This window comes from Homo sapiens, chromosome 1 (genome assembly GCF_000001405.40).
Source record: "Homo sapiens chromosome 1, GRCh38.p14 Primary Assembly".
NCBI classification, from domain to species: domain Eukaryota; kingdom Metazoa; phylum Chordata; class Mammalia; order Primates; family Hominidae; genus Homo; species Homo sapiens.
This window is the reverse complement of record NC_000001.11, coordinates 196,064,221-196,089,569: the sequence shown is the minus strand read 5'-3', so window position 1 is coordinate 196,089,569 and position 25,349 is coordinate 196,064,221. Positions and strand designations below refer to the sequence as shown.

General features: G+C 33.9%; 1 long non-coding RNA gene across 1 annotated transcript in view; it reads left to right on the top strand.

Annotated features, from left to right (window-relative positions):
- Positions 1-854: 854 nt before the first annotated feature.
- LINC01724 (long intergenic non-protein coding RNA 1724) overlaps positions 855-25,349 on the top strand; it is a 43,836-nt gene continuing 19,341 nt past the window's right edge. The window contains exon 1 of the long non-coding RNA NR_146895.1: positions 855-1,067. This is a non-coding gene — a long non-coding RNA (long intergenic non-protein coding RNA 1724). The remainder of the gene's footprint in view (positions 1,068-25,349) is intronic.

The window sequence follows — 25,349 nt, the reverse complement described above, 5'->3', positions numbered from 1 at the left end:
AGGGTATTTGTCTACCATATTATACTGTCTGATTATTTAACTCTTAATTAATATAAATCTATTGATTAATGTATGTCTCCTATCACTTCAAGTTTGTGTGCTTTCAACTAGTCATCAACTCAGCTGTGTTTAGAAATAACCTTCCTCTTCTAAGAGCAATCGTTACTATAAGATGACATGTCTGCTTACGATTCAATAGAGGGTTATTGTGTGCATAGAAAAACCTGAGTCTAAATGAACGAGAAGATATCAGTGATTCTGTGAATAGCTATCGTGTGGCCTCTGAATAATAAAAGTGTAATTTCTGTGAATTTACCAATGCCAAGTAAAGTAGTTTGTTTTAGCTGAAGTGAAACCAGTAGAAATAAGAGAAGCTGAAGCCAAATGTTGATCTAAATAGCTGAAGGTCATACTAAGTGAGTAAACTTTCTGCAATTTAATAATTATGAAATATTATATTTCTTAAGTGTCTGTTTAGCTATAATGTTTGGCTTGATGATTTAAAAATTGAAAATGTTTTTAGTTAGGGTGGACTAACTGCTATAAAAACAAACCTAAAATCTCAGTAACTTACCATAATTAAGGTTGATTTCTTACTCACGTCACTGGTCATTAGTAAACTAATGCCTCATTGGAGTAGGTGTTTTCCGGTTAGGGCTGCTTCATGCAGGTATCATGGATCCAGGCTCCTTGTACCTATGGTTCCACACGTCTTAAGGGCTCAGTTCTCTAAATCCGCCTAGCAGAGAAGTGAAATTCAGACTGTGGTGAAAATACACATGTTCTCAATTACTTTTGCCCGGTGTTGACACGCATCAATTTCATTTTCATTCCCTCGTTGAGAACAATCACGTCTGATGGGTAAGAGGCCTGGGCAAGAAGATCTAACAGTGCGTCGAGATGAAATAAATGTTGGGAAATAACTAGCCAGTTTATGCTACAAGATACATGTCTTTATAATTGCATTTATGATTTGTGATTTCCTTTTACATCAAGAAGAAGTCAGAAAGGATTACGTATGAAATTGAATGGGAGAAAATTGTGATGTGTCAAGTAGAACAGATTAGGTAAATATATCTTTAATATCACCATTATTTCTTCTTCAAATGTTTGACATAAATCCTTAATGTTGGCTATAATTTGATATAATTTACCAGTAAATCAACTGGCATTCAAGTTATTTTAAGGCATTTATTTACAAATTTAATTTAAAAAGACAGATATAGAACGATTCAATTCTCAATCTTGTTGGACATAAAATTTTGTAAATAGCAATTAGCTCAGATTAGGTTGTTCAGATTTGTATACTTATGGATATTTTGTCACTTTGATTTCAACTACTAAGAGGTATTAAAATATCTAACTATGATTGTGAATTATTTCTTCATTTAGTTTGGCCAGGTTTTCCTTGTGTATTTTGCAGCTCTGTGATTAGATACATATATGTGAATGTTTATTACAACTTCCTGATAAATGATTTTTTTCACAATTATGAAATGTTTCCCTGCTATTAACTTTTGTTTTCAAGTTTATGTTGCCTGATCTTAATATAGCCATATAAGCTTTCTCATGCTTACTATTGGGATGGTATATTGTTTTACATTCTTTTATTTCAATGAATCTGGGTTTTTATTTTTTATTTTATTTATTTATTTTTTGAGACACAGTCTCACTCTGTCACCCAGGCTGGAGTGCAGTGGTGCAATCTCAGCTCACTGCAACCTCTGCCTCCGGGTTCAAGTAATTCTCCTGCCTCAGCCTCCCGAGTAGCTGGGATTACAGGCGTGCACTGTGAGGCCTGTATAACTTTTATATTTTTAGTGGAGAGAGGGTTTCACAATGTTGGCCAGGCTGGTCTCAAACTCCCAACCTCAAGTGATACACCTGCCTTGGCCCCCTAAAGTGCTGGGATTACAGGCATGAGCCACCATGGCTGGCCTGTGCTTTTATTTTAAAGTGTATTTTTAAAGGCGGAAATAGTTGGGTGTTGTTTTTTTAATCCAGTACGGCAATAATTTCCTTTTAATTTGAATAGTTAGTCCATTTGTGTTTAGTGCAATTATTCATGTGTTTGGACTTATGCCTATTATTTTGTTACTTGTTTTGTATTTCATCTCTTTTTTGTGTTATTTTTTATTTTATTCCTGCTTTCTTTTGAATCAGTAAAGTACTTTAACATTAATGTATTGTTTCACTTTATTTCTTTTATTTGTCCTATAGCTATGTCCCTTGTATATTTTTTATTTGCTTTTCAAGAGATTGCAATAGATATTTTCAAATTGTTAGAATCTGTTTAAGTTGTTATTGTGTCCCCATTTCGTGTAAAATGTGACTTAAAGAAACTTTTTTTTTTTTTTTTTGAGATGGAGTCTCATTCTTTCACCCAGGCTGGAGTGCAGTGGCACAATCTCAGCTCACTGCAACTCCCACGTCCCAAGTTCAAACGATTCTCCTATCTGAGCCTCCCAAATAGCTGGGATTACAGACCCATGCCACCACGCCTGGCTATTTTTTGTATTTTCAGTAAAGATGGGGTTTTGCCATGTTGGCATGGCTGGTTTCGAACTCCTGACCTAAGGTTGTCTGTCTGCCCCAGCCTCCCAAAGTGCTAGGATTACAGGCGTGAGCCACCATGCCCAGCCAACTTAAAGAAATTTAACAAAGTTATTATCCTTCCCTTTTTTGGTCATATATTTTACTATTACTTCATACTGCCCTCAGCTATCTGAGGTCTTTGATACAGTTTTAATATTTTTATTTATTCTTTAGATTGAATAATGTTTATTAATTTTTCTTCAAGTTCATCAATTTTTCTTTTGTAGGTGTTTAATGCTGTTATTTCAATCCAGGCTACTTTTCATTTCGGATCATGTACTTTTAAGTTACAGAATTTCCATCCATTTCTTCATAACTTCCCATTTCTCAAGACTTCCCACATTTTCATTCACTTTATCCATTTTCTGCCTTGCAGTCCTTTGATATATGTTTAGCAACTTAAAAACAACAACAACAACAACAACAAAACCCTTGTCCCTGCTAATTCCAACATCTTTTTACCTTGGTGTCTCTTTTGATTTTTTTTTTATCTTGATCATGGGCTATATTTTTCTTCTTCTTTACATAGATTGTAAATTTTTATTGTATATTGGACATCATGGGTGACACTTGCAATATCTGAATTCTATTGTTTTTCTGTAAAAGGTATGGTGATTTGTTATGGCAGGCAGTTTAATTATGAGGCATCCTCTTGATTCTATCAGGCTTAATTTTATTTTTTATTAGGACAGATCTGTTTTAGTTTTGTCCTAAGAATTGCCCTTACTCTTTAAGTGTAGTCTTTCAAGGTTTACCAGAGCCTCCCAATTATATACATCTGTACTGAGAAAGTTCTCATACCTATGTTTGCCTTCCAAACCCACAGCAGCCGTTCTCAGTTAGTGCTCATGGACTCTAGCTGTGCATATTACAGCCCAGCCTTTATTTAAAGACTCCATGCAAATGTCTGCTATTGCTCCTATGCACAGCTTTTTCCCTTTTAGACCCTGAAATCCTCGCCTCTTCTCCAAGCTTGAAACTTGCACCAGCAGTGTAGTGAGACTGTTGTCTCTTTTGGATTCATTCTCTCTCCACTGTGCAGTGAAAAGTGCCCCCAGGCTGGAATCCAGTCCAGAAACAGGTATAAAATGATATGTTTTCCTTTTTCAAAAATCATATGCCTGCATTTTAATTTTTGTTGTCTCAAATATTTCCAGTTTCATAGTAGTTTATAGAAGGAGGCATGTCTTTTCCCGGTTCCTCCATTATGATAAAAATTAGGAATCCCAGTTGAATCAACTCTCGTAATAAATAATTAATAGAAGGTGAAGTCTGTTTTTCTCTTCATATCTTGCCTTTTTTTACATCACATAGCTCAGGTATTGTATGAATACAATGTAGAGTCCTGGGTGCTCATTTGTACAGCTAATTATAATGATTATAATTAATATATAAATACTGATCACCCTATCTAATTTTTAAAATTAAAAAAATCAACAGCAATATCAATTCAACTTTAGATCCCACTTATTCAATAGGCAATCACAGCAATTGCCTTAATTAGAAAAGTTATTGGTAGAAGAAAAGACAAACAATAAAATGAGGACTACAACTTTCTGAAAACCAAACCAGGCCTTTTTTTTCTTTTTTCTAAAAATAACTGTGTCCTTCTAATGAGTACTTCTATAGATATAATACCATGGGAAATTAATGACAAGTGGGAAAGGGAGCTTTTTCAAATTCACACAGGTTCTCCTACTCTGCCAGCATGAAAATACTTTTGACAATAATAAAATATGATTTTGTTTTCATCATACATTTCCAAAAATCCAGTGTTAATAATAAATAAATTAAACTGAATAGGATTTAATATAGGAAATCCTGAGTTACAGCTAACTGGAAACCAGAGGTCTTAGAAAATGTAAGTGCCAGTTCCAGTGAAAAAGTATGTAGTATATCCTACTAGTTGTCTTTGGAGTATATATGCAATTAATTAAAATAATTTGACTTCTAAACCTTGTACTGAGTGAAAATCAGAATAGAGTACTTTACAATCAATAGAGTATGTTAAAAACTTTTAGTTAGCTACTAAGATAATGAAATTTCAATTTTGTTAAAAGAAGCATTTAAAACCATTTTTACTATGTTGGGAGTGTTATCTATTCTTATTTAGTTATTCCAAAGTTATACTCTATATCTTATTGACTCCTATTTTCTTCATTTTAAGACTACATATTAATTTCACTGGCTTATTATTTGGATTCAGACACCACAAAAACTAATTAGAAGATATTTTAATGTTGTAAATGTGATTGATTAATATTCTTACAGTTTATATTCTTAGGTGTCTTAGAAAGGTACTTCAATCTGACTTTAAATTCTGTAAGAGTGTCTTTTTAAAATCTTCTCTACTACTCTTATTTATCACCACTCATTACACATCACAACAGACACTTATTTCATATAATTTTCATGTTACATGTTTCCTAGTATGTATCAAGAAGAAAGAATGGAAGAGCACTCAAGCTTTCTCCAATGCTGACATTTTGAAAATGTCATAGTTTATAGGGAAATAATGAAAAACCATATTATATGGCAGAACATTCTGACCTTTTGCTCAGAAATTGATAAGAGTTCTTGGGCAAACTCTGTAAAGAAACTCAGAGGTAAAATTCAGTTACTAATAAGTAATTGAAGATTTCAGAGGTCACAGCATGAGCAACAATTTGTTCTAAAAGTTAGGGCATGGAATAAATTTATTTTTCAATTATCAATTTCCCCTCTAATGTTATTTCAGGGGCAACAGACATGTGAATGTGTGTGTGTGTGTGTGTGTGTGTGTGTTTGTGTGTGTGTGTTTAAGGCAGCTTTGGATATAGATTTTTAAAGTATTTTTTAAAGGTTAAATTGAGGTATACTTGGCATATAACAGGTTGCACATAATTACAACAAACAACTTGATAAAATTCGACGTATGTGTATACCTGGGAAACCATCACCATGTTCAAGATAATGAATATGTACGTCACAGGCAAACTTTCCTGGTGCCTCTTTGTACTCCATTCTTCCCTATTCCAACCCCTAAGCAATAACTGATCTACGGGCTTTCTCTCACTGTGGACTATTTCACATTGTCAAGATATTTTTGTAAATTAAATCATACTGTATGTTCTTAATTATCTGGCTTCTTTCAACAAAATTATGTTGAGACTCATTCATGCTGTAATACATATCAAGAGAAGATTACTATTTATTGCTGAGGAATATTTTGTATGTACATAACACAGTTTGCTTTTTCATTCACCTGGTGATGGAAATTTCAGTTGTTTCAAGGTTTTGGCTATGAAAAAGCTGTATAAATGTTTGCATACAAATGAGATGGCTGGATCAGAGTAGGCATATTTTTAACTTTTAATGAAACTGCAAAATGGTTTTCTAAAGCTGTTGTACCACTTTACTTTCCTCCCAGCAGTATATGAAAGTTCCAGTTCCTCAACCTCCTTGCCAGGATTTGAAATGATCGGGTTTAAAAATATTTTTTTTCAACTTTTATTTTAGAATCAGGAAGAACACATGCAGGTGTGTTACAAGGATACATTACATGATTCTGAAGTTTGGAGTATAAATGAATCTGTCACACAGGTAGTGAGCATAATACCCAATAGGTAGTTTTTTTCAACACTTAACCCCCTCTCTCGCTCTCCCCTATGACATTCTCCAATCTCTGTTGTTCTCATTTTTATGACCATGTGTACCCAGTGTGTAGTTCGCCCTTACAAGCGAGAACACGCAGTATTTGATTTTCTGTTCCTACATTAGTTTGCTGAGGATAATGGTTTCCAACTGCATCCATGTTGCTGCAAAGATCACGATTTCATTCTTTTATATGCCTACATAATATCCAATGGTATATATGTACCACATTTTCTTTATCAGATCTACTCCTGATGGGTACCTGGGTTGATTCCATGTCTTTGTTATTGTGAATAATGCTGCAATGAACATATGAGTACATGTGTAGTTTTGGTCGAAACTTTTTTTCTTTGGATATATATACCCAATAGTGGAATTGCTGAGGTGAATGTTAGTTCAACTCTCGGTTCTTCAAGAAATCTCCAAACTGCTTTCCACAGTGGCTGAATTAATTTACTTTGCCACCAACAGTTAATAAGTATTCCTTTTCTTCACAGCCTTACCAGCATCTGTTATTTTTTTAATAATAGCTATCTGTATTTTTTAAATAATAGCCATTCTGACTCATATGAGAGGTGTCTCATTGTGATTTTGATTTGCATTTCTCCGATGATTAGTGATGAAGAGCATTGTTGCATGTTTATTGGATGCTTATATGTCTTCTTGTGAGAAGTGTCTGTTCATGTTCTTTGACGACTTTGTTTTTTCCTTGTTGATTTAAGTTCCTTATATAATCTGGGTAATAAGCCTTTGTTGGATGCATAGTTTGTGAATATTTTCTCCCACTCAATAGGTTGTCTGTTTACTCATTTGATAGTTTCTCTTGCTATGCAGAAGTTCTTTAGTTTAATTGCAGCCTATTGTTACAGGAAAGGGGTTCTGATGCAGACCCCGAGATATGGTTCTTGGATGTCGCACAAGAAAAACTCAGAGCAAGCCTGTAGAGTAAAGTGAAAGCAAGTTTATTAAGAAAGTAAAGGAATAAAAGAATGGCTACTCCGTAGACAGTGCAGCCCCGAGGTCTCCTGGTTGTTGATTTTTACAGTTATTTCTTGATAATATGCTAAATGAGGGGTGGATTATTCATGCCTCCCTCTTCTAGACCATATAGGGTAACTTCCTGATGTTGCCATGGCATTTGTAAACTGTCATGGTGTTGGTGGGAGTGTAGCAGTGAAAATGACCTGAGGTCACTCTCGTCGCCATCTTGGTTTTGGTGGGTTTTGGCCAGTTTCTTTATTGCTACCTGTTTTGTCAGTAAGGTCTTTACGATCTGTATCTTGTGCTGACCTCCTATCTCATCCTGTGACTTAGAATGCCTTAACCATCTGGGAATGCAGCCCAGTAGGTCTCAGCCTTATTTTACCTAGTGCCATTCAAGATGGAGTTGTTCTGGTTTACATGTCTCTGACACTATTAGTCATTTTTGTTTGTTTGTTTGGAATAGTCAGTCTTTTAATTTACCTTTTGTAAAACATATGTAGTTGTATCTCGTGGTTTTAATTTTTGCATTTTTCTAATGACTATGAAGAAACACCTTTTCCTATGTTCATTCAGCATCTACTTAGGTTAATTTTAAAAGCGCTGTTCAAAGCGTTGGCCCGTTTTATGTTGGGTCGTTTGTTTTTAATCATTGAATTTGGAAAGATTGTTAGATTATTTTGATTCAAGCCCTTCATGGTATATATGCTCTATAAATACATGTGATATATTTTTTGCAAATATTATCTTCTAGTATATGACTTGTCTTTTCAGTCCCTTAACAGGGGTTTTTGAAGATCAGAATTTTTTCATATTAGTGAGCTGTAATGTATCATCTGAATAGAAATGGGTTGTTCTTTGGTACTGTAAACCAAAAACATATGTGAAACAAGTCTCAATCAATTTAGAGGTTTATTTTGCCAAGGTTAAGGACCGTAGCCTGTGACACAGCTCAGGAGGTCCTGAGAACATATGCCTAAGGTAGTTGGGTTCCAGCATAATTTTGTACATTTTCAGGAGACAGAAGTTATAGGCAAGGACATAAATCAATGTTAGTTACACATTGGTTCAGCCCAGAAAGGCGGGATATCATAGGTAGATTGAACAATTTTCTGACTTGCAATTGGTGAAAGAGTTAAGCTCTGCTTGAAGATTTGAAGTGTCTGTGAGCAGCCCAGTCCCCTAGCCGCGCGGCCAGGCAAAAAACCTGTGTCTGAGTACTCCGTTCAACCATTGCTCAGCCAGGGTCTGAGGGTCAGACCCAGCAGGTCAGCTGTGTCTAAACTCCAAAGGGAGGAGGGTAAAATGAGTCATGTCTAACCTTCTTCACTTTCTGCAAGGGCCTGAACTAATTTTTCAAAAGTTTTTGGAATCCTCTTGGCTGAGAGGGTTATCCATTCAGTCACTTGGGGGGATTAGAGATTTATTTTTGGTTTACAGTATTGTATTCCAGCAATCTTTGCCTAGTCCAGAAATTTTAAAGCTTTACATTTCACATGTAGGCATATCATCAGTTGAGTTAATTATTGTATATGACATGAGATTTGGATCAAAGTTAATTTAAATTTTTTTTTATTTTGTATAAGTTATTTCAATAATTCTTTCACAGTTTTGAAAGAATTTTCCCAACTAAATTGCCTTTGTAGAAAATCTGTTGTCCATATATATGTGGCTGTCTAATCTCTTCCATTCATCTATGTATCTGTCTTTATGTCAATACCACCCTGTATGATTACTGTGACTTTATGCATCTTTTGTACTTGGTCATCAGCTATCTATATCCAGATGGTCTCCAACTTATGGTGGCTTGACCTGTGACTTTTCAACTTAACTATGGGTTCATCGAGGTATTAAATGCATTTTCAACCTACAGTATGGGGTTTTATCTCGGGTTTAACAGGACATATCCTCATTATAAGTCAGGGAGCCCCTGTATTTGTAATCATTATACCTTTTTGATATACTGACCCTTTATAATTATAAAATATTCTTTAACTCTGGTAATATTTTTTGCTTTAAAATCTATTGTCTTTGTTTTAAAATCTGTTAGTACAGCCACTCCAACTTTCTCTTGATCACAGACACCTGGGATTTAGCCTCAGCAGCCAGAAGCTGGGAGTAGGATAAAAAATGCTAAAGTCCTTATCCTCTGGAGAAGGAAATTCTCCAACTGAGAGCTAGGGTGGGGAGTGGGAGGATGAGGGAGCCCTGTGTTTTTGGCTACTGCAGTCTGGAGAGGGGTCTGCTTCACTGAGCTGGAAAGGAGGGAGGGACTGGTATAGGTTCAAGTTCTGTCTTATCACCCTTCCTAACCAATTTTTGTAGATTTTCTTGAATACGTGTTTCTTCTTGTACTTGGTCCTCTCAGGATCAACTCCAGAAGGTTTAAATGGTTGGATTAGTTTTTGAAAAATAATGTCTCCCAATTTCCCTGGGGATTGTGTCAGTGGAGCTTTTCATGTTGTCATACCTAAAGTCAATCTCTGGAATTTCTAATTTGTACAAAAAATTTTGCTTTTTAAAAAGTATGAAGTAAAGATGACAATATGTTCACATGTATTACAGCTTGGTACTTACATGGGTTTCAGTTATATTATTTTCTCTGATGTTTTTACGTCTGTAATATTTTATAGTTTTAAAAAAGAAGAGAAAATTGCTAGGAGGGTGTATATCACTGGAAGTATCGTGGCACTGGCTGAACTGTTTTGCATCTTTATTCCATGTGTAAGATAGACAGGTCAATCATAATCTGGCAGTATTGCTCAGGTTGTGATTAATCACAATTAAGATTTATTTACATATAACTTATCACTATTACTGCCCACTTCAGACCTCCATCGCTCACTGTGGGTCCCCATTGTCTACACAATCCAGTCCACATTTATGAGCAGATAATTTACATAATTTTATTATCAGGACAAAGTCTGCTTCTCCAGCCTTATCATCCACTTCTCTATTTGTACGGCTTTTAGCCATTATAGAATATTTAATATTACTCATGTATACTACACTTTCATTTAAATCTGTTTTTTGTATTTTCTTTGAACTGAAATTAGCATTCTCCATACTCCATCTGAAGAAATGGTAGTCATTGTCTAGGATGAGCTCATATATTATTTTCTTTATGAATACAATTAGTAGCTAAAAATTACTGAGCTTGTGTATGTGTCAAGCGAACTGCATACAATTCCAAATTTAATTTACTATCTTTGGAAAGAAGGTATTTTTACCCTCATAAGTGCATAAAGTACATTAGAATGAGTGAATTAAATCCCAGATTGCTATGTCATAGCCAATATATCAGTATTTCTGACACCGTAGCCTAGTATCTTTCCTCTAGCACGTTCAGGTTTCAGCCAAGTTTTCTTCAATATTTTCCTCCTCAGTTCTCTCACCTCACTTTCCACACCCAGTGTACTTACTTGCTCCTTCCTCTCTGTCAACTGAGAATGTTCTTCATAATGCTGAGTCATAGTTCATAATGCTGACTTCATTCTCTGATCACTTTGATATTTGATATTTGCAAGAGAGTGTAATTCATTTAATAAATTATGAAATTATTGAGGCTTTTTTTGTTTTTATTATATTCAGTAACAAGAATCATGAGAAAAACAGAAAAAGTATCAGAAAATATTTGTCGAGTCTTCAGATTTTACAGTTCTTGTTTTACTAGATAAGTAATTATGAAGGTTTGGGACTTATTTTTACAATGTGACAGTATTTACCTTTTTACTTAATTAAATTTAAAATTTATTCCACAGAGGCCAATAAAATATTATTAAAAAGAGATATATATATGTATGTATATAGTATCCAGTAAAAATTGTGCATTAAATTTTACCTGTAGCTTTAAAAATTAGGCTTAAAATTTTATGTAAACAAATCAAATTCACATGGATACATATGAGTAATACAAAACAGTTAAAATAATTTATTTGAATTATATTGCAGTGTAAACATAGTTTACTTAATTCTTCATGTATTAGCTCTGACAGATAGGAAATTTATTTCAAACCCTTGAGTTCAATTTTTCAGTCTTTTGCTTTCTCCCTAATCTTTAATGAAATAATATTTTTAAAAGTCACACTAGCAAAACATGAGGTAATAGATATCATAAACCATTTATTAAAAAGGACACTTTGCGAATAATTATCCTGATGCCATTTGAAATGGCATCTTCATGTATTCTGTATCTTGCTGCAATTGATCTAGCATTAATCAGTTATAATGCCCAGGAAAACTGATGTTCATTCATTTTGGTCAAGGATAAAATGTGAAACTGTGTCAAGTCACTGGAGGATTCTTTTTTTATAAATATCCTATTCTTAAATTTTACTATGCATATCTACTTCCATTTAGGCATCCTGAATATTAATAAATCTCAATGTATAAAGTATGTACAACAGGGATTTTTAGCACATATAATGGAGTCAGAAATTTGTAGTTTCTTTTTCGGTTAAATCTCTTGTCTTCCAAATTTCTTTTTCTTCTGCTTTCTTCTTTTCTTCCTATTTTTAACACAAAGTTGAAATTGCTGGCATATTTCAAGCAACATTATAATCTTCAGAGAAAGAGAAACAAGGGCTGTATGCTTTTTTTAAAAAAATGTAGTCTTAAATAGACAAGCATTGCCAGTAGATTATATTACATATAATGACAATGACAGTTATTTGATATTGTGTGTGATGTGTGCATGAATGCACAATTGTGTATGTATCAAAGTAGTAATTTGAAATAAGATGGAGCAAAGAGTTCTGTTATCATTTAATCATATGCTACATCAAATAGGTATATAAAATATTTAAAACTCAGAAAAATTATGTTTATTTAAATTACAATTTAGAACAATGCAGTTATTTTCACTTGCTTTCCTCATCATTTTCTCTTGTAATTTTCACACAGATTTCAAATATCATTTTAAAAGTGATATATCTAAATAATATAAACACAAAACTTTACTGTTTTATGCAGTATATCAACTGTACTCATGTCTTTTGTTTTTGAAAGTAAAACATATTTACATGTATTCCACTTGCCTTTAAAATTGATAAAAATGAAGATTGAAATGAAATTATCATCATCCTGTTGACAGAATGAAAATTCTCATTTTAGTAGATAAAGTAATAGGACCTAATCATAAGAATAGCAAATGAACATAACACTCTCACGTCAGTGAATAACCAGTAAAAACTGACCCCAGTGCAAAATATTACGTGAGTTTCTTTGGATGCCACTTCTTTCCTTCCTATGGGGGTTGATTTTAAACAAGGATAAAGTCATGAGCTATGTTAGGTGAGGGAGAAGAAATTAGTGGAAGTGATTTTTGTCCAGAAATACTTGGAGTCTTATCAAGTAGTCCTAGCTTATCTATTGCTTTTTGGTTATTTCCTTGGCTAAGCAATGCATACTTAACACAACAGCATGAGAATAGCTCTCATAGGACCACGTGTGAAAAGCATTGACTGCATCCGCTTAGTTTTGCTGCTTTTTCTCATATAGTATTTCATTTGATGCTCACAAAACTGCAGGACAAGTTTTATTCTTTCCATTTAGCAAATAAGAAACAGGCTCTCAGAAGGTGTCATATATAAGAATCAAATAGCTAATGATTGTTTTGTTAGGACTTAAACCAAAATCATATTATCTCCCATCTAATTCTCTTTTCACCATATTGCATCTATTGTGGCAAATTCAGTAAGCGCTTCAAGGATGGCAGGTAATTTAAAAGCTTCTTTATCCCCCAAACAACCCTGAAGTTTAGTGTTAGAATGTCTATTCTTCAGATGCAAAAATGTAGCTGAGATAAAATAGATGATTTGCTCAAGAAGTTAGTGGTGTTCAAAAATTGTGCATGTGTCTCAGGTTGCAAAGTCTCTATCATACATTTTTTCTGTCACAACCATTCACTGGAAAAGTGGAAGTTTATAAAACTGAAAATTGTATAGCCTTATAAACAAGTCTTGAATTCTTTAATTAAACCTGGGCTGTGAACAGAGGCAATCACATACATGGGAGTGTGGCAAAAATTTATAGGAATATATAAAATATTAATGCAATAATTAGTAATTTGACTTCAACAAGTTGAAACTTCATTTATTACTTCATGTGCATCATAAAATATTTATTAAAGCATGAAGTAATCAATATTTAATAGGTAGCCAGATTTATCTTTCCAAGCATTACTCAATAATTTTTTCAATAAAATGGATATTTAAAAAATATTAAGCTCTGTTCAGATGCAGTAGCTCATGCCTTTAATCTGAGCACTTTGGGAGGTTGAGGCAGGAGGGTCACTTGAGTCCAGGCATTCAAGACAAGTCCAGGCATATGGCAAAACTGTGTCTCCACTAAAAATACAAAAATTAGCCAAAATACAAAAAGTAGCCGGGTGTGGTGTGACCCTGTAGTCACAGCTACTTGGGGGTGTGAAGCAGGAGAATAGTGAACCCAGGAGGCAGAGGATTCAGTGAGCTGAAAGTGTGCCACTGCACTCCAGCCTATTTTGAGTTATTAAATTAATTACATTAATTTTTAAAAAAACAAATATATAAAAAATAAACAAATATATGCCACATATATAGTTAATATTACATATTAATTATGTAAGTGATGTATATTTATTTGTGTATATATATATGACTAAATATATACTTTATATATACATATAAGACTAAAATCCTCTTTGGCCACTTTTTGGAGCTATTGTTTACTATTAAGACTGCAAAGCCATAATTCTTTCCCTCCAAGCTTCTTGAACTTTGAAATAATATCTACCACTTATTGCATTTTCTCAGAAATATGGAAGCATATTTCTCAGAAATATGGAAGCAAAGAACAATAATGACAATTTACCCACATTCATGTTTTGACTATTATTCCATTTTAAATGCATATATATGTGCAGATATATGTATGACTGTTTACATACATATCATCTAAGGGTAAGTGTGTGTGTGTGTTTTTAATCACTCTCCATTCTTCAACTGAGGAACTATTTGTATCACATAGAGAAAGATAGAAGAATAATTTTTTATATTGTTAAAGTGGCCCTTAAAATTTTTGTTGTGAATTCCTTATTATTTCTTTTACCAGTTATTTCTTTTCTGCTTCACCAAAGCTTCACTGAGTAAATTTTTAAGTAAATATCTGTCTTGAAGTAACTCTCCTTAAATGGATAAATGAGGTCAGCTGTCTTTTATATGGCCTCACACAATTGTGTACCTTATGTTTATACATTTACCATAATTATAATTTTCTATTTATTTGTGATAATTTAATTAAAATCTTAGTTTCTTACCAATATGACATTTGTGAAGGTAGGGGCAATGTCTACTTTTGCCCACTTTTTTACCTCTTTGTGCTCAAAATAATATCTGGAATATATTAATAAATATTTTTAAGTGAAATAGTTAGGGCTAATTCCCAGTTCATTTTTCTCCTCTCTCTGAAACTTTATATAATAAACATTTTTCCATGGAGCTAAATATGTTGAACTTAAATTGCACGTGCAAATATTGTGATATTTTCAATAATACACAGCTCTTTTTTATTCATACTCATTTTAGCTAATATTTTTGCATTACATTTTATTCTGGCTTTACCTCTCCAAGAAAGATATTTAATTCTGTAGCATATATTGTTAGTCTGCAGATGACACTTAATTTTATGAGGCTAACTTGCAACCTTCACAACCTAACAAGCCCTTTCTGTGTTCACTATCAGAAAAGTTTCAGAAAAGTTTATTAGTTAGGTATTATACATAAAGGTCTCAAATGTCTCTTTCCATATCCTTTAACTCAATTTTCTTTCATGTTATGTTTAATAGTATTAGGTATGGTATCAGTAGCATTATATGTTAAACTACTTTGAGTTTTAAGAATGTGATATTTTAGCCTAACAGGGATATATCCATTTAGTTTTGAATCTGTGTGGCCACTTTTTACTTTTTCCTGAGTGTCATCAGGAAAATTGCTTGCTGTCTCTGTTTCCTTATCTTTTATATGAAATTAATAATGACCACTAGTTAATGTGGGGATAGATAAAATTGGAAATAGTTAAAATATATGTATTTTTGTTTGTGTGTGTGCATCCTGGTGGATAATATACCTTTAGAAATGGTAAGAATAATAGGTGCTAGTACAGCTTTAAATAAGGCATTAATAACATTGACAGTAATGTAGTAATGACATTTTAAAAGGAGAATGTCAGATCAGTAGTGAATAGAATAAAATTTGTAAGACCTACTATTCCTTCACCTAATGCACACACACACACACACACACACACACACACACGTTTAGAACTAAAGCCACTGAAGAATAACAGTACTTTTGGCATAGAAGTATAGCCATCCTCACCTGGTTGCTTAAGTAAGGTGTCCTTTAAACGGTTACATTGTTAATATTTGAAGTCAGTTTTCCAGAAGAGCTATTTTCTCCATTTAGTAGACTTAAACACATATGCACCCATTCATAGCTATGGTGGATGCTTAAGATTTAAAATGCAAAATATTTATTATTTAGATGTTCTTGCTTGCAATTAAACGCGCAGAAGAGAGGCAGAATCCATTTTCCCATCTCTTTGGCTCTTTCTGCTAGTAAGCAGAGTTGTGAAAATTTGAGTTTTATATGTGGCAGTATTCCATTGTTCATCCTCTGGCCTTGGTTTGTTGGCTATGCAGCGTCAGTGGCATATTCATGTATGTTCTTTATTTCCTGGGTTGAAGATATCATTTTGTGTCTATGAACTGATGCCTTCAATGGCCTCGGAGGTATCTCTGGTAGGCCAGTTTTGCATGATCATGGGATTCATTCTAAGGTAACTTCAGCATTTCCAACAATTTGGTAACACCCAGTTCTCCATATTATTTTCTTTTTCTTAGAATACTTCGAGTGGTTTGTGTTCTGCCTTGGATTGATTTTTGCTGCTATGAGTCTCGTGAGGAACTCTGTAACCTACTAACTTTTTTTCCTCTTACCTTTACTCTTATGTATTAACAGATTAAGGGCAGTGGTTCTTAGAAAAGTCATATATTATTTGCCACCTCCCAAAGTTATACACGAAATTCAATTTGTAAAACTTGCAGGCTAAATGCAATATTGTCATTTTTATTTGCTCTTCTTACCTAGTAGCAATAAAGAATTCAGGGCAAAATTTAAGTGTTTAAAAAAAGAGTCTATGATAGTTTTTATTAAATATTTTGAAAACAAGATTTACTCTGCAAGCCATTTCATAGCATTTATAATCTACATTGCTGGTCCTCAATCATAATATTATGACGTGTATAACAAATTACTTTTAACTAATGATAAGGTGCTTAGTACTTTGACTGTGTAGCTTTGCAAAATTAGAGAGGTTTCAAAGTTATTCTCTCATTGATGTCACTCTTGCTCATTTTATTGAAGCATTATTTTTTAAATAGTGGTGGAAGTAGAAGGCATGTGTCTTGAGCACTACTAATTATGCATTATGGTCCAGCTAACTACTCTGTGACAGAGCTCTTTGGGAACATTAAAAATGATAATTACAAGCTAGTTTAGTACTGATATTGCCATGGCTGTAGGTTGGATTTGTGCACAGTATACATTTTTAGATTCAAGAAATATTTATAGAGCTTCTACTCTGCAGGGTAGTGATGGTGCAATGATGAAACGGACAAAGACCTGGCATCAAAGAAATTTTTAGCATGCATGATGGACATTAACCAGCCAAATATACAACTTGTTATATATTAATAACTGTTACAGTTATTAGCAGTTATTTGAAATTACTAGCAATTAATTAATTGTTTAATCATATGATTGGGAAGTTGAAAGTCTCAAAGGTTAAGAAACATTTTCCTTATCATGGGCCATTTAAACTGAGGTTTTAAGGAATGAGTAGAAAGATGATATTGAATGAAGGAGAGGAGAGCTTTGTCCAAGCATAGGGAATAATATATGCTGTATGTAAATTCATACTGGAAAGAAATGAGGCAACTCTAACAACAAAAAGAGGACCTCTAGCTGTTTTATAAAGATCACAGGGGCAGATTAAAAGAATTCAGTTATAAAAGCAACGTGGAGCTATTGGAGGTTTCAAGGAGAAGAATGATGTATTAGTTTTGGATTTTAGAAAGATACTTAGGATGGAAAATTGATCCGAGGAAATTTGTGGGAAGGCTAATTATGATGCCATTTTCTTAATCCAAGCAAAAGGTGATAGTAAGCTGGATGAGGGTATTGGTAGTGGTGTATCAGCTGAAAGATGACAGAGAAGTGTTATATAGATATTATTCAAAGTCATATTACTCTAAATTGTATCAAAGAAAAAGCATCAGTTTTAATCTCTAATGTAACCAAATCATATTTTTTCAGACTATTGTTGTGTGCATTAAATCAAAACAAATGAAAAACTGAATTATTTGTGTTGTGATATGGTTTTGCTTAGAGCTAAGAATTTTCAAATTTATTTCATTTGAGAATAAAAATATTGTTCAAACAAAAATAACAAAAATAAAGGTAGGTGGCATAATCACTAATCCTTTTTAACTAAGCAATAATATGATTCTTGTTTGTGTAATGTGTAGGGAGAGGGAAAACCCCCCTGGGTTTTCTGATTTATTGGAACTCTTTTGAAATTCAACAAGCAGGATTAAGATTGTTGAAAGCCCAAGGTGTCTAGAGAGTTTGTGTAGTCTAGCATGGAGGCTTTGCTTGTCAGATGTCTCAACTACAGTGAAAGGTAACACTAGCATGACAGAAATGGTACTTGCTGAACATGTTTATAATGCCCCTGGGATGAGATGTCTAATGCAAACATAACCACACAATTCCCTTCCTGAGTTATTTGTTTCTAACATCAGCGTTTTCAGGAAACTAGACAGTTTTTCAATGTAATTTTTCTTAAAGTTCCAATTAACCACATAATTAATGAAAAGTATTGAGAATACATTTTAGCACTTTTAACTTACAAAAGTCAATGTGGTGTGTTTGCTTATAGAATGTGTTTTCTTTTTATTTAATAGCAGCTAACAACTTACATATTGTCACATTAAAATTGTTGATATCTTTACTGGAGACATTCTCACTCTTTATCACAGTCCCTATATTTATAACATATTGAAAGAAGGCTGTTAGAGCTCATAAATACGTTGATTGTAGTCCTCCTTATGTAGAGATTTTGATATAGATTACTAAAAGGAGTATATAGTAGTGTGTGATCTGATGTGTGATCACCATAGCAACAGTAAACAAAAAAGCAAAACACGAGAAGTTGAAGCAAAAATCTGGGCTCTTAAGTTTAAGAAAGTTTAATTCTATCAAGATTTAAAAAGCAAACACTGATTTTTAGAGTCACAGTCAGAAAATTAGAGAGATGATGAAATGAAAAGCTCTTTGAGCAATGTTATAATTTGCTGCTCTTCCTATTTTTTTAAGCCATGCCTAGCAGTAGACTGGGGGTTTTCTTTGAAGAGATTGATCTAGAATGCCTCTGGTTTCAGGAAAATGGACACATTTTAAGATAAGGGTAAAGTGCTGGAATGAATGAGGATGCAACAGAAACTCTCATTCCTTGCTGGTGGGAAAGCAAAATGGCACAGCCACTTTGGGAGACAGTTTGGCAGTTTCTCACACAACCAAATATAACCTTACCATATGATCATCCTCCTTTGTATTTACCTAAAGGAATTGAAAATTCCTTTATAAATGGATGTTTATAGTAGCTTTATTCATAATTGCCAAAACTTGACAGAAAAACTGGTACCTTCAGACAATGGAATATCATTCAGTATTAAAAAGAAAGGAGCTATCAAGCCACGAAAAGACATGCAGGAACCTTAACTGCATATTACTAAGTGAAAGAAGCCAATCTGAAAGAACTACAAATATCAGGAGTTTGGGGAGAGAAAGATGATCTTTAGGGCAGTGAAGCTACTCCGTATGGTACTTTAACGGTGCACACAGGTTCATTATATATTTGTCCAAATTCATAGAATGTGCAACCCCAAAATGAACCCTAATGTAAACCACCGACTTTGAACGATAATGATGTATCAATGTAGGTTTATCTATTCTACCAAATGTACCCTCTGGCAGAGGATGTTGATTAAGGAGCTATGAACATACAGTGGTAGAGGGTATGCGAGGAAGTCTCTGTTCCTTCCTTCAATTTTTCTATAAACCTAAAACTTTTCCAAAAAATAAAAGCTATTAAAAAAACAACAACAGAAGGAAGAAATGAAATGTATACCGCTGGTTGAGATATAGTTCATTTAAAATAATAAAGAGAATGCCAGTGAATCAACAAATTTTACACAGAAGTACACACATTTCCTGAATACAATTTATAAACTCATTATTTAAATATACATAGTTTATTCCACTATATATTTAGTCATTTTTAATAAATCTATTTTTAAATTTTATAATATAAGCTCTTAGTTTCATTACTGAGTCAAATACTTTGAGGAGAGTTAGCTAAATTGGACAAACCTACTTGAAAATAGTAGATAAATATTTTATATCCCAAATGAAAATTGGAAAAACAGAAGCCCTCACAAAATGGTCATTGAGTAGTATGCATTTTTTTTGAGCATTCTGTCATTTGCATGCTGTCTTTATATTGCTCATGCTATTTTTCTTTTTTGTTTAAGGCAACTAAACTACTATGGCTAAAGACATAGTTCTTTCTCAGTTAATGTACCCTGATGAGGTCTTCTGAAATATGCTTACTATAGGTTTCTCTCATTGCTCATGTTTCCCTTTTGTAGTTGGCTATATTTTATACACCTCTGACTTTCCACACAAAGAGAACTACTTATAGATTCAGTGCTACAGAAATCTTCCCCTCTTTATGGCTCTAGTACTCTAGCTATCAAATTTCTTTAATAGTTAATACACACAAGTAGGTACACATAAAAAATGAAACTTACACAAAGGCAGATCATTATTTATATATAATTTATCAATTGTGATGCAAATATCTAGAGTACTATTAGATATAAAATATTGTGTTGTAGGCCGGGCGTGGTGGCTCACTCCTGTAATCCCAGCACTTTGGGAGGTCGAGGTGGGTGGATCAAAGGTCAAGAGATTGAGACCTTCCTGGCCAACATGGTGAAACCCTGTCTCTACTAAAAATACAAATATTAGCTGGGCATGGTGGTGTGTGCCTGTAGTCCCAGCTACTCAGGAGGCTGAGGCAGGAGAATCACTTGAACTGGGAGGTGGATGTTGCAGTATCTGAGATCACACCATTGCACTCCAGCCTGATCACAGAGTGAGACTCCGTCTCAAAAAAAAAAAAAAAGGGAAAAAAAAGAAAAAAAATTGTCTTGTAAACTACCTTGAAAACAGAAGCTCTTATTTGGAAATGTCATGGGAATTCAATATTTAATATATTTTCTAATATTTTCCACTTTATTTTAATTATGTAATAGAAATGTAATGAATCTATTTTCTGCAATCCCATAAATCTTCCCAGCTCTGCTCCTGTATGGTAGCATGCCATACAAACATGATTACTTTCTATTATGCCATGATATGAGAGTTTCGCTAACACTGAACAAGGGTTGATGTATTTAGAGCCATTCTTATGTAAATCATAACTCCCAGGTGGCTTGAAAATAATGACAAGTTATTTTGACAATTAATACAAGAAATTCTTTTAATGTTTTAAAAAATATATTTTTAACAAATAGAAGAGACCCTTGAGAAGACTAAATTGATGAAACATTGTATCATGTACATTTTACTTGTCTAGTACTGCTATATACATTCTGCTTAGAAAACACCCATTTACAATGTCTCCATAGAGTAGTATCAAAAATACAAAACATTTAGTGATAAATATTACAAAATATTTGCAAGACCTGTATAATTAAAAGCAGAAAATATTGCTGAGAATATTAAAAAGACCTAAATAAATGGAGAGATACACTGTGTTCATAGATTATAAGATTCAATACTGTTTAGATGCCAAAGCTCCTGATAGTAAGTGTTGTGTTTGTTTTTGTTTTTGAAAAATATGGCAAGCTGGTTCTAAAATTTATATAGAGATGTAAAATTGGAGGACTTATACTATGTGAATTCAACACTTATCATAAAGCTATAGCAATCAAGGCAGACAAATAGGTCAATGGAATAGAACAAAGAGTAGAGAAACCAATCCACACGTATATGATCAACTGATTTATGGCAAAGTTACAAAGGCAATTTAGTGGAGAAAAGGTAGTCTTTTCAACAAATGGAGCTGGAACAATTGCATATTCATATGCAAAAGTATTACTTTTGATCTATTACCAAGTACCAAGAGCAAAAATTAAATAAAAATGGATTGTAGACCTAAATGCAAAACTTAAGGTTATAAAATCTCTAGACAAAAACATAGGAGAAAATTTTTGTGGTTTTGAGTTAGCCAATGATTTCTTAGATGTGATAATATAACCATGATCTATAAGGTAACAAATTTACAAATTTGACTTATTTAGTCAGTGTTAAGAGGATGGAAAGAGAGGCTGCAAACCAGGAAAAACTATGTGCAAATTACACATCTGCAAAGGCTTAAATGTAGAATATTTCACAAAACCTCAAAATCCCATAATAATGGAACACACAATCCACTTTAAAGTGTGCAAAATATTTGAGTAGACATTTTAAGGAAGATAAACTGATGGCTAGCAAGAACGGGGAAAGATGCTCAATATCAGTATTTATTAGGGAAAAAAATTAAAATCACAATGAGATACCACTACAAAACCTATCAGAATGGCTGAAATTAAACAGATTTACATATCATGTGTTGACAAAGGTATGGATTAACTGGAAGTCCTATATTTTGGTGGTGGGACTGAAAAATGGTACTACCACCTAAAAAAGCCCAGTAGTTTCTAAAGAAGCTAAACATTTGCTTATCATATGATCCAGCAAGTATACAACTAAGTTTTTACACAAAACAGATTAAAAAATAAGACTGTACATAGATATTTATAGTTGTGTCCATTATAATTGCCAAAAAATGAAAGAAAGAAAGAACAAAAGTCCATCAAGAGGTGGATGGAAAAACAAACTGTGGTACATTCATATGACGGAGTGCGGCTCAGCCATGTAAAGGAATGGTCTATCGACATGAACAAAAACGTAGATGAGTTTCAAAATAGTTGTATCAAGTAAAAAATGCTACATTTTATAAAGGAAAAATTGTGTGATTCATTTATATAAAATTCTAAACAATGCAAATTTACCTTTAGTGACAGAAAACAGTTCAGTAGTTGCTTGAGAATGGAAGGCAATGACGAGGGGTAGAAGGAAGGGTTTATGAAGCAACAGAAGGAAAATTTTGGTGGGGGCTGGTGATGCATACATTCATTATCTTGACTGTGGTGTCAAAAGTCATCAAAATTGTATGCTTTAAACATATACAGTTTATTTGATGTCAATTATACCTCAATAAAGCTCTTCAATTTTTATAAAATCGCCATGTTGCTAATGACTTCCATATTAGGAAGCACAGCTCTAGAAGTTTGTTATTCCTTTCAAATCTTGCTCTCATCATCCTACTATAGAATTTTTTATGTCTATCTTTAATGCAAACAGAATTTTACAGTGTCAACTTTGTTATTTTCTCTGCCTTGAGAAATGCTTTATTATACAACCAGACTTCCTAAAATAATGCTCTTAGCTTGTTATTCCAAGCAAAACGTATCCTTTTCTATATAGATTCTTTTTTTATACAGCTGACAACATAGCTGAGAAGAGTCTTAATAATATTGGAATATAGTATATTCATTTTTTAGATGGGGAAATTGAGGTTTGGAAAGACTGACTTACATATGTTATTGACAAAAATGATGCTATTGCTGGAATCCACTTCTCTGTATTCTTTGTTCAAGTTTCATTTTAGATTTTGTTTTTTTTCACTAAACCACACAGATTCCATATGTCTTCTTCTTGAAGCCCTCCAACACCTCTTGGAGGTGGATCTTTCCTACTTACCCAACCTTATTTATCCTTGCTCTCAAATATTTAACTCTATTATGTGTGTTATAAATATCATTGTCCTCCCTAGTTCCAACATGGTTGTCCCCTATTTTACATTATGGACACCCATTGCCTTTGTCTGTTGTGTCCTTTCTCCATACTTTATTGTATTTTCTGCGCATCTGCTTAGTTGTCTTCATTTGCAATTGTGTCTTAGTGTAAGTCAGGGTCAAATACTACTTTCCCAAAATAATTTGTCTCCTCTTCTTCCATAATACAAGTGTTATAGTCAAGCCCTTGACTACTCAGATATACCCGATTATCCACCTCTTTCTCCGTTAAATGTAAACCCATGATTAAGTTCTCCCTTAGTCCATTTAGGCTGCTATAACAAAATACCATAAACTGGGTAGCTTATAAACAACATGTACATATTTCTCACAGTTATGGAGGCTGGGAAGTATAAGATTGATGTTTTGGCAGATTCAGTGTCTGGTGAGGGTCCCGATCCTTACAGAGAGTGTCTTCTTACTGTTTCCTTACATGGTGGAAGGGGCTAGTTGGCTCTCTGCAGTCTGTTTTATAAGGACACAAATCCCAGTCATTGGGCTCTTTTTCGTAATTCAGTTATCTTTGAAAAAGCCCTATCTCCTAACAATATCATTTAAAGGTTAGAATTTGAACATATGAATTTGGAAGGGAGACACAAACTTTCAAACTATAGTAAGTCCTCACCCATGGAATTGGTGGAAGTGTCCCGCTTCCTCGATAAAGACTTCAAATGATAATAGGCTTTTCCAAACTCTTTTCTTTTAAGGGGGAATATGCATATATCAGCCTATCTTTGTCCTTGACAATGATAATACTCAAGGAAATGGGAAAGTTAAAATCTGTGAAGTATTCCTATTTCTGAAAAACCACATGAACTATAATTCACTTGGCCGGGAGCGGTGGCTCACGCCTGTAATCCCAGCGCTTTGGGAAGCCTAGGTGGGCAGATCACGAGGTCAGGAGATCGAGACCATCCTGGCTAACATGGTGAAACCCCGTCTCTATTAAAAATACAAAAAAAATTAGCTGGGCGTGGTGGTGGGTGCCTGTAGTCCCAGCTACTCGGGAGGCTGAGGCAGGAGAATGGCGTGAACCTGGGAGGCGGAGCTTGCAGTGAGCCGAGATCGCGCAACTGCCCTCCAGCCTGGGCGACGGACTCCATCTCAAAAAGAAAAAGAAAAACAAATACAATTCACTTGCTTAAAGTGCTGTGAGAATAACAAACTTCTTCTTCCCCACCCCCAATAAGGTACTGCATTATTGGCTATTTGCCTTATACTGCTTTACTTTATCCAATTAATACAAGGCCAGAAGTCTTTCACCTTGTGGACTCAGCCATTAATGGGCCTAATAGTATAGTAATGGCCCCATTTTCTCCAGTATCTACAACTGGAAATCAGGTTTATTGCCCTAAACTTGAGGAAGGTCCTCAGCTTAACTATGCCAATAAACTATGTGCCTACTAAGATTCCATCTTTTGGAAAGTAGTGGGGTTTAGAGATTTGCATTAGAATTTCTTAAAATCTTCCTTCTAGATGTGAGCTATTAGGTCAATTATTTAACTTCCCTATTGTATTGTCCTATAAAACAAAAGAATACCTACATAGATAAAATATGAGAATGTAATAGAATTTTAGAAAAAAATGTTAAGTTTACTTTTCCTGTTGTCTTAGAGTTTTAACTGATGTCCCTGTATAGATGATAATGGATGTTAAACAGCCACACATTCAAAAGAGTGATGCTGGTGCATCCTGGTAAGACTCTAAAAAGTGGCCAAAAATACGTTCTAGACTCTCCAATCCATCCCCTAATTCCAGCCTATGTATAGGAGAAAGCTGGAGGGCCATGAAAGGGCTTGATCAAAGTCAGGAGTTCTTTAAAAACAGATATTTGTGTAACAGAGAATATGATGGTGTTTTCCTACCCCCAGACATTGGAGAGGGGACAAGGTTGGTAATTCCCACATGCCAAACCCAGGACTATGGGAGGATTGGTGCCATTATAGAATCCCAGGAGAGTGAGAGATATTTAATAGTGTTGATATGTATTCCTCAGATTTTGGAAGTAAAAGTCTGGTGTCTGACTTGTGCAAAAGAATCAAAATATAGAAGATAATGGGAGGTCTGCTGA